We start from the raw sequence: 11,010 nt of genomic DNA on the forward strand, positions 1-11,010 counted from the left end.
TGTCTGGTTTCAGTCTTTGAGGCTGCTGACTCTTGGATGGGGTTTTTGTGGGGACCTTTTTGTTGTTGTCGTTGTTGCTTTCTGCTTGTTTGTTTTTCTTTCAATAGTCGGGTCTCTTTTCTGTAGGGCTGCTGCAGTTTGCTGGGGGTTCACTTCAGACCTTATTCATCTGATTTGCTCCCGTGCCTGGAGATGTGACTCAAGGAAGTTGGAGAGCAGCAAAGATGGGTGCCTGCTCCTTCTGCTGGAACCTCTGACCTCAAGGGGCACCAACCTGATGCCAGCAGGATTATTCCTATATAGGGTGTCTGACAACCCCTGTTGAAGGGTCTCACCCAGTTGGGTGTCACAGGGAACAGGATGCATTTAACAAAGCACTTTGTCCCTTGGTGGAGAGGTTGTGCTTTTCTTGGGGGAAACTCACTCGTCTGGGCTGCCCAGATTCCTCAGAACTGCCAGGAGGAGAGACTAAGTCTGCTGGTCAGCAGAGACTGTGGCCATGCCTCCCCCTAGGGGCTCAGGCCCAGGGAGTTCCAAATTCTGTTCCTGAGCCTCTGGCTGGCGTTATTGGAGATCCTGCAGGGAAGCCCTGTCCACTGAGAAAGGATGGGTCAAGTTTAGACCTGAAGAGGCACTCTGGCTGCACACTGCCACAGCCAGTGTGTTGGGCTGTGGGGACAATTCTTGGGGCCAAGCCACCCAGCTTCCCTGGCTCCAGCAGGGGAAAAGCACAGACTGGAGCTCTGGAAATGGGTGCCACCCTTCTCCTGCCCAGGAAGATTAGCATGTTAGGCAGTTGTGAGTCTCAGTGCTGGTTGCTGCCCCTCCCCCAAGGAGCTCAAATGGCTTAGACAGGAGGCAGCCACAGCCTGTGCTGGTTGCCCCTCCCCGTGGGAGTTCAGTAAGCTTAAGCAGACTCCAGCTGAGAGGCTCTAAAAATCTGTGTGTTCTGGGGTTGGGACGCTAAGCCCCAGTCGCATGGATTCGTAAGAGGGATACTCTGATCCATGGGTTGCACAGTTTCATGGAAAAAGCACAGTTTCCCCGGCTGGATAGCATGCTCAGTCACTGCCTCCCTTGGCTGGGGGGATGGGGTTCCCCTTCCCTGTGTGGTTCTCAAGTGGGCCGCAGCACCACACTGCTCTTCCTTTTCTGCATGGGTCACGCCAGCGTTCTAGTCAGTTTTGGTGAGAGAATCTGGATACCTTGGTTGCTGGTGAAGGATTCACACGTTTATTATCCTTTTTTCTGAAGAGAGCCTCCCAACCGCGCTGCTTCTAGTCAGCCATCTTGGCCCCACCGTCTGAAGTCAGCACATGCTTTTCAACGGCCCGCTTTTCAACAGCACGTGTTTACTTCATGACTCTGTGTCACATTTTGGTAATTCTCACAATATTTTAAACATTTTTATTTTTATTATATATATTATGGTGATCTGCAATCAGTGATCTTTGATTTTACTATTGTAAATGTTTTGGGGTGCCATAATTCATGACCATATGAGATGGCAAACTAGGCTGGGCGCGGTGGCTCACGCCTGTAATCCCAGCACTCTGGGAGGCCTAGGAGGGTGGATCACGAGGTCAGGAGATCGAGACCATCCTGGCTAACATGGTGAAACCCCATCTCTACTAAAAATACAAAAAATTAGCTGGGCGTGGTGGCAGGCGCCTGTAGTCCCAGCTACTCTGGAGGCTGAGGCAGAAGAATGGCATGAACCCGGGAGACGGAGCTTGCAGTGAGCTGAGATCACACCACTGCACTCCAGCCTGGGCCACAGAACGAGACTCCCTCTCAAAAAATAAATAAATAAATAATTAAAAAATAAAAAATAAAAAAAGATGGCAAACTAAATACATGTGTGTTCTTACTTCTCCACCACCATCCTTTCTCCTATCTCTTATCTCTGTCTTCTCCTCAGGCCCTTCTGTTCGCTGAGACACAATAATATTGAAATTAGGCAAATTGATAACCCTATAATGGCTTCTAGTTGTTCAAGGGAAAGAAAGAGTCACACGTTTCTCACTTTACATAAAACGTTAGAAATGATTAAGCTTAGTGAGGAAGGCATGTCAAAAACAGAGATCAGCTGAAAGCAAGGCCTCCTGTGCCAAACAGCCAAGTTGTGAATGCAAAAGCAAAAGTTCTCGAAAAAATTAAAGTGCTACTCCAGTGAACACAGGAACAATAAGAAAGGGAAACAGCCTTATTGCTGAAATGGATAGAGTTTTAGTGGTCTGGATAGATCAAACCAGCCATAATATTCCCTTAAACTTAAGCCAAAGCCTCACCCAGAGCAAAGCCCTACCACTCTTCAATTCTTTGAAGGCTGAGAAAGCTTCAGAAGAAAAGATGGAGGCTAGCAGAGGCTAGTTCACGAGATTTAAGAAAAATGGCTGTCTTTAAAACATAAAAGGACAAGACGAAGCAGTTAAGTGCTGATGGAGAAGCTGCAACAAGTTATCCAGATGATTTAAGCTAAGATCATTGGTGAATGTGGCTACACTAAAAAACAGACATTCAATATGAGTGAAACAGCCTTATATGAAAAAAGATGCCATCTAGGACTTTCATTGTTAGAAAGGAGAAGTCAACGCCTGGCTTCAAAGCAAAGGGTGGACTGACTCTTGTTACAGGTTAATGCAGCTGGTGACTTTAAATGGAAGCCAATGCTATTTACAATTTAGAAAATTCCAGGCCCCTTAAGAATGATGCTAAATCTTCTCTGCTTCTCTACAACTGCACCAAAGCCTGGATGACAGTATACCTGTTTACAGCAAGATTTACTGAATATTTTAAGTCCACTGCTGAGACCTACTGCTAAGAAAAAAAGATTTCATTCAAAATATTATTGTTCATTGATAATATACCTGAACACCCAAAAGCTCTGATGGAGATGTATAAAGAAATGAATATCCTTTTTATGCCTTCTATATTAGTCCTTTCTCACACTGCTATACTGAAATGTCTGAGACTGGGTAATTTATAAAGAAAAGAGTTGTAATTGGTTTATAGTTCTGCAGGTGTACAGGAAGCATGGCAGCATCTGCTTGGCTTCTGGGGGGGGCCTCAAGAAACTTACAGTCATGATGGAAGACAAAGGGGGAGGTATCACTTCATATGGCTGAAGCAGGAGGAAGAGAGAGGGCAGAGAGTTGATGCACACTTTTAAACACCAGATATCATGAGAACTCACTCACTCTCATGAGGACAGCAACAAGGTGATGGTGCTAAACTATTCATTACGGATTATCCCTGATGAACATCAATGCAAAAATAGTAAAACACTGGCAGCACATCAAAAAGCTTATCCTCCATGATCAAGTGGGCTTCATCCCTGGGATGCAAGGCTGGTTCAACATACGCAAAGCAATGAACGTAATCCAGCATATAAACAGAACCCCAGACAAAAACCACATGGTTATCTCAATAGATGCAGAAAAGGCCTTTGACAAAATTCAACAACCCTTCATGCTAAAAACTCTCGATAAGTTAGGTATTGATGGGACGTATCTCAAAATAATAAGAGCTATTTATGACAAACCCATAGCCAATATCATACTGAATGGGCAAAACCTGGAAGCATTCCCTTTGAAAATTGGCACAAGACAGGGATGCCCTCTCTCACCACTCCTATTCAACATAGTGTTGGAAGTTCTGGCCAGGGCAATCAGGCAGGAGAAGGAAATAAAGGGTATTCAATTAGGAAAAGAGGAAGTCAAATTGTCCCTGTTTGCAGATGACATGATTGTATATTTAGAAAACCCCATCGTCTCAGCCCAAAATCTCCTTAAGCTGATAAGCAACTTCAGCAAAGTCTCAGGATACAAAATCAATGTGCAAAAATCACAAGCATTCTTATACACCAATAACAGACAAACAGCCAAATCATGAGTGAACTCCCATTCACAATTGTTTCAAAGAGAATAAAATACCTAGGAATCCAACTTACAAGGGATGTGAAAGACCTCTTCAAGGAGAACTACAAACCACTACTCAACGAAATAAAAGAGGATACAAACAAATGGAAGAACATTCCATGCTCATGGATAGGAAGAATCAATATCATGAAAATGGCCAACCTGCCCAAGGTAATTTATAGATTCAATGCCATCCCCATCAAGCTACCAATGACTTTCTTCACAGAATTGGAAGAAACTAAAATTCATATGGAACCAAAAACAAGCCCTCATTGCCAAGTCAATCCTAAGACAAAAGAACAGAGATGGAGGCATCACACTACCTGATTTCAAACTATACTACAAGGCTACAGTAACCAAAACAGCATGGTACTGGTACCAAAACAGAGATATAGACCAATAGAACAGAACAGAGCCCTCAGAAATAATACCACACATCTACAACCATCTGATCTTTGACAAACCTGACAAAAACAAGAAATGGGGAAAGGATTCCCTATTTAATAAATGGTGCTGGGAAAACTGGCTAGACATATGTAGAAAGCTGAAACTGGATCCCTTCCTTACACCTTATACAAAAATTAATTCAAGATGGATTAAAGACTAAAATGTTAGACCTAAAACCATAAAAACCCTAGAAGAAAACCTAGGCAATACCATTCAGGACATAGGCATGGGCAACGACTTCATGTCTAAAACACCAAAAACAATGGCAACAAAAGCCAAAATTGATAAATGGGATCTAATTAAACTCAAGAGCTTCTGCACAGCAAAAGAAACTACCATCAGAGTGAACAGGCAACCTACGGAATGGGAGAAAATTTTTGCAATCTACTCTTCTGACAAAGGGCTAATATCCAGAATCTACAAAGAACTCAAACAAACTTACAAGAAAAAAACAAACAACCCCATCAAAAAGTAAGTGAAGGATATGAGCAGATACTTCTCAAAAGAAGACATTTATGCAGCCAACAGACACATGAAAAAATGCTCATCATCACTGGCCATCAGAGAAATGCAACCTACAGAACGGGAGAAAATTTTTGCAACCTACCCATCTGAAAAGGCTAACATCCAAAATCTTTTAAAAGGAACTTACACAAATTTACAAGAAAAAATCAAACAACCCCATCGTAAAGTGGGCAAAGGATATGAACAGACACTTCTCAAAAGAAGACACTTATGCAACCAAAAGACACAAGAAAAAATGCTCATCATCACTGGTCATCAGAGAAATGCAAATCAAAACCACAATGAGATACCATCTCACACCAGTTAGAATGGTGATCATTAAAAAGTCAGGAAACAACAGGTGCTGGAGAGGATGTGAAGAAATAGGAACATTTTTACACTGTTGGTGGGACTGTAAACTAGTTCAACCACTGTGGAAGACAGTGTGGCGATTCTTCAAGGATCTAGAACTAGGAATACGATTTGACCCAGTCATCCCATTACTGGGTACATACCCAAAGGATTATAACTCATGCTGCTATAAAGACACATGCACACGTATGTTTATTGTGGCACTATTCACAATAGAAAAGACTTGGAACCAACCCAAATGTCCATCAATGATAGACTGGATTAAGAAAATATGGCACATATACACCATGGAATACTATGCAGCCACAAAAAAAGATGAGTTCACGTCCTTTGTAGGGACATGGATGAAGCTGGAAACCATCATTATCAGCAAACTATCGCAAGGACAAAAAACCAAACACTGCATGTTCTCACGCATAGGTGGGAATTGAACAATGAGAACACTTGGACACAGGAAGGGGAACATCACACACTGGGGCCTGTTGTGGGGTGGGGGATGGGGGAGGGATAGCATTAGGAGATATACCTAATGTAAATGACGAGTTAATGAGTGCAGCACACCAGCATGGCACATGTATACATGTGTAACAAACCTTCAGGTTGTACACATGTACCCTAGAACTTAAAGTATAATAAAAAAAAAAAAGAAGAATGTAACATGTTGGGGAATCAGAATGAAATAAACTTAGATCAAATTAAAAAAACACAAAGCCTAGTTTAAAAAAAAATTCTGAATCTCCTCTTCTCACCCTTTCTTATGGAAAGTTCAAGCAAATAATCACAGTTTTATTCCATTTGTGGAAAATAGCTACTCGCTAAGAATAGATATGCATTGAAAAAAAGATGACTTATCTGTAATTACTTAAATATTTTACTATATTAATAATAACCTTAATGCTACAGCTAAACTGAGGAAAGAGAGAATATAGGAAAAAGAGAGGGAGAGGCAGAAATGCAGGTGAATATTATGGCCAAATGGAAGTGGCCAAAAGTCACTTGTGATTTATGCCAGAGACCAAAAGTCAGGTGTTTTTACTTGTATTTGAATAAACCCATTATGCCTAAATAAATGTTTCAACAGAAATACTTGATGTACAATTACCTCATCTAGGCTGCTGCATAAGGCAATATTCTTCATATTCTGCATTTGAAAATGGAGTTCTTATCAGGCTCACATTTTTAGCATCCTGAGTCATTAAACAATCTATCTAATTTGAGATAGCATTTTTAGAAAATAAGTACCTTGTCTGTCTTTATACCACATTATTTCAGTGGTCAGGATCCCTTAATTAGTTTTCATGAAGAAATACATGCCACACAATGTGAGTGATGTTCCATTATTACCCAAAGTTTCCTACTGTAATTTGAATTGTCATCCAAAAAAATTATAAAAATAAAATAAAAATACCTGCATTCTTGAAAAAAAAAAAAAGGATCTACCCCCATGATCCAATCACCTCCCATGAGGCCCCACCTTCAACACTGGGGATTATAATTCAACATGAGATTTGGTGGAGACACAGATCCAAACTATGTCACCTGCTGACACATTTGCAGCTCATGGATCAAGCAGTAATTTTAATTTTCAAGACTTATTATTTAAGGAATATGTTTTGTCAGGCTATAGCTGCCATTGATAGTGATTCTTCTGATCTGAGCAAAGTCAATTGAAAATCTTCTAAAAAGCGTTCACCATTCTTGATTCCATAAAGAACATTCAGATTTATGGGAGGATTTCAAAGTATCAACATTAACAGGAGTTTGGAAAAAGTTGACTCCAACCCTCATGGATGACATTGAGGAGTTCAAGACTTCAGCGGAGGAAGAAACTGCAGATGTGGTGGAAATAGCAAGGGAACTATAATGAGAGGTTACGTCTAAAGATGTGACTGAATTTCTGCAATCTCATGATAAAACTAAAATAGATGAAAAGTTGATTCTTATGGATAAATAGATAAGCAGAGAAAGTGGTTCCTTGAGATGGACTCTACGGCTGATGAAGCTGCTATGAACATTGTTGAAAAGACAAAAACGTTTAAAATATTACATAAACTTAAACAAGCTGTTACAGAGTTTGAGAGGATTGACTCCAACTTTGAAAGTTCTACTGTGGGTAAAATGCTATCAAACAGCATCACATGCTACTGATAAATCTTTCATTGAAAAGTCAGTTAATAAGAAGATTCAATTACTGCAGGAAGCTTCATTATTGTCTTATTTTAAGAAAGACACAATGCCACAGCCACCTTAAACTTCAGTATCCAGAACCCTGATCAGTCGGCACCCATCAACATCGAGGCAAAACCCTTCACCAGCAAAAAGACTACAATTTGCCGAAGGCTCATATGATCATTAGCATTTTCTAGCAATAAAATATTTCTGAAGTTATGTACATTTTTTAGGTATAATGCTACTGCACACACAATAAACCCCAGTATAGTGTCAACATAATTTTTATATGCACTGGGAAACCAAAAACTTTGTGTGACTTGCCTTATTGAGACATTCACTTTATTGCAGTGGTCTGGAACTAAATCTACAATATCTCTGATGTATGCCTGTATTAAACATTTATCATCAGCAAACCAGTGAACAGACCTAGAACCACACACTGAAATATAATACACTGAATTAATACAAAAGGAGCCATGTTTATGAATTAATAGAATAAGAAATTGCTTAAGTATGGGTCACATTTATATAGTAAGATTTGTAACTGTTAATGAGCTGCTTTAGTATGGCACAATCAAAAAGCTATTTTATTCTTTCTCCCTTTGCTCCTTCAATACCTCTCTAAAATCTAGTTGTTTCCTTAATCCCTTTAATTAAGTCATTTGGCCTTTATAGCACATCTGAATCACAAGGGTAATCTCATTCCAATAATTAAAATTTCCAGTCCAATCTAACATAATATTATGACTTCAAGATGAATTCAATATAAACACATCTCTAGACCTAACTCAGGTCAGCTTCAGACTTAGAAGCCTGAAGAATGAGAAGGAAGTATATGAAAAAGTAATAATAATAGTAAATAAGTAAACAAAAAAACCTTCTGACAGTGTATAAAAGGGTATCCAAATTTTATTACAATCTTGCTATAAGAAAGAAGGCCTTTAGCAGACTAATTCTGCAATTTTCTCTTGGAAGGAACATTTTATAAGCAAAGAACATGGCCTGAAAATTATTAGACTATTAGACTAAACCGAAATTGAAAAGAATGAATAAGGTCCACTAGGTGAATAATAGTCAGTGGAGTAGGTGGGTGAAGGGTAAATGATTTCCCAAAACAAGTCTTAATCCCATTAAATGTGAGAAAATGGTTTAAGCACTTTATGGGGAATACTGATTATTTATCACAGGAAATTACAAATCTCATTACACAAAAATATTGTTTTTTAGACAAGTTTGGGGGTTATTTTTCATTCAGAGAAGTTAACATCTTTTCACTCCTACTTTCTCTATGCTACTATCATTGACAGAGGGAAAAGAGATTAAATGAAAAAGGCACAAATATGTGCCTGGAAAGGTTGTGATCTATCCATGGTGTCCTCTTGGGTTTCGTAAATGTTTGCAGCTCACACTTTCTCCTATGAGTCACGCTGATGCATCCATGTGATAGTCCTTCACTGGGAACTTCCATCTGCAAGCATTGACCAGAGCGACATACTCCATCTGGCTGCTTTTGACTCCCCCTCATCATCTGGGCTTCTGAAGTTCTGTTCTTTTTTTACTGGGTCACTCTACCCATCTTGATAGTCATTTGGAAGAAAGCTCCAGAAAGGATTCCACCCACATAGTCCATATCTGGTCCATGGGTAATAACAACTTTGGCCCCACCACTGATGGTGAAAGTACAGTTGACTTCTGATTTATTCCTCTCTTTTCTCTTCTCTGCTGCCTCAGGCCAATCTAGGCACAGCATTTCATCTTAACCTTGATATTCTCTTAAATTCTGAAGGCACCTGTCCATATTTCTGAGTAGTTCTCTTGAAGTCTTTCTTACATAAAGTGGAGGAATCCCACACATGCACTCGTCTCTCATATTTAGGAGCGGGAGGTCAGTGCAGGATATGTCATCACACTCCAACAATTCTCCCTAACGGAATCCTCTCCTTATACTCATTAACTCATTAATCCCCACTCTTTTACGGACGGAGGTAGAGGACTTCTTATATTGGCAGAATCAGTTTTCCAGACATTTATCTCATCCTATATAACTCACTTTAAGTTATGTAAATACTTACACCTATTGTATGTTTCTTGGACTTTGATATTTTAACTGAAACTCAGAAGAAGAAAGAGTCCGCCGAGGCGGGCGGATCACGAGGTCAGGAGGTCGAGACCATCCTGGCTAACATGGTGAAACCCCGTCTCTACTAAAAAATCCAAAAAAATAGCCGGGCGTGGTGGCCGGCGCCTGTAGTCCCAGCTACTGGGGAGGCTGAGGCAGGAGAATGGCGTGAACCCGGGAGGCAGATCTTGCAGTGAGCCAAGATCTTGCCACTGCACTCCAGCCTGGACGACAGAGCAAGACTCCGTCTCAAAAAAAAGAAGAAAGAGAGGAAGATCTACCAAGCAAATGGAAAACAAAAAAAGGCAGGGGTTGCAATCCTAGTCTCTGATAAAACAGACTTTAAACCAACAAAGATCAAAAGAGACAAAGAAGACCATTACATAATGGTAAAGGGATCAATTCAACAAGAAGAACTAACTATCCTAAATATATATGCACCCAATGCCGGAGCACCCAGATTCATAAAGCAAGTCCTGAGTGACCTACAAAGAGACTTAGACTCCCACACAAAAATAATGGGAGACTTTAACACCCCACTGTCAATATTAGACAGATCAATGAGACAGAAAGTTAACAAGGATATCCAGGAATTCAACTCAGCTCTGTACCAAGCGGACCTAATAGACATCTACAGAACTCTCCACCCCAAATCAACAGAATATACATTTTTTTCAGCACCACACTACACCTATTCCAAAATTGACCACATAGTTGGAAGTAAAACTCTCCTCAGCAAATGTAAAAGAACAGAAATTATAACAAACTGTCTCTCAGACCACAGTGCAATCAAACTAGAACTCAGGATTAAGAAACTCCCTCAAAACCGCTCAGCTACATGGAAACTGAACAGCCTGCTCCTGAATGACTACTGGGTACATAACGAAATGAAGGCAGAAATAAAGATGTTCTTTGAAACCAACGAGAACAAAGACACAACATACCAGAATCTCTGGGACACATTCAAAGCAGTGTGTAGAGGGAAATTTATAGCACTAAATGCCCACAAGAGAAAGCAGGAAAGATCTAAAATTGACACCCTAACATCACAATTAAAAGAACTAGAGAAGCAAGAGCAAACACATTCAAAAGCTAGCAGAAGGCAAGAAATAACTAAGATCAGAGCAGAACTGAAGGAAATAGAGACACAAAAAACCCTTCAAAAAATTAATGAATCCAGGAGCTGATTTTTCAAAAAGATCAACAAAATTGATAGACCGCTAGCAAGACTAATAAAGAAGAAAGGAGAGAAGAATCAAATAGACAAAATAAAAAATGACAAAGGGGATATCACCACCGATCCCACAGAAATACAACCTACCATCAGAGAATACTATAAACACTTCTACGCAAACAAACTAGAAAATCTAGAAGAAATGGATAAATTCCTCAACACATACACTCTCCCAAGACTAAACCAGGAAGAAGTTGAATCTCTGAATAGACCAATAACAGGCTCTTAGATTGAGGCAATAA

At 40.0% G+C, this 11,010-nt stretch overlaps 1 annotated feature.

The window, feature by feature from the left end:
• Positions 260 to 931: an enhancer, noted in NCBI's record as "H3K4me1 hESC enhancer chr4:118862351-118863022 (GRCh37/hg19 assembly coordinates)". NCBI's record gives its function as "activates a minimal SCP1, AML or CMV promoter by ChIP-STARR-seq in naive H9 embryonic stem cells {active_cell/tissue: H9 hESC(naive)}" and the evidence as "EXISTENCE:reporter gene assay evidence [ECO:0000049][PMID:30033119]".

This window comes from Homo sapiens, chromosome 4 (assembly GCF_000001405.40).
Source record: "Homo sapiens chromosome 4, GRCh38.p14 Primary Assembly".
NCBI classification, from domain to species: Eukaryota; Metazoa; Chordata; class Mammalia; order Primates; family Hominidae; genus Homo; species Homo sapiens.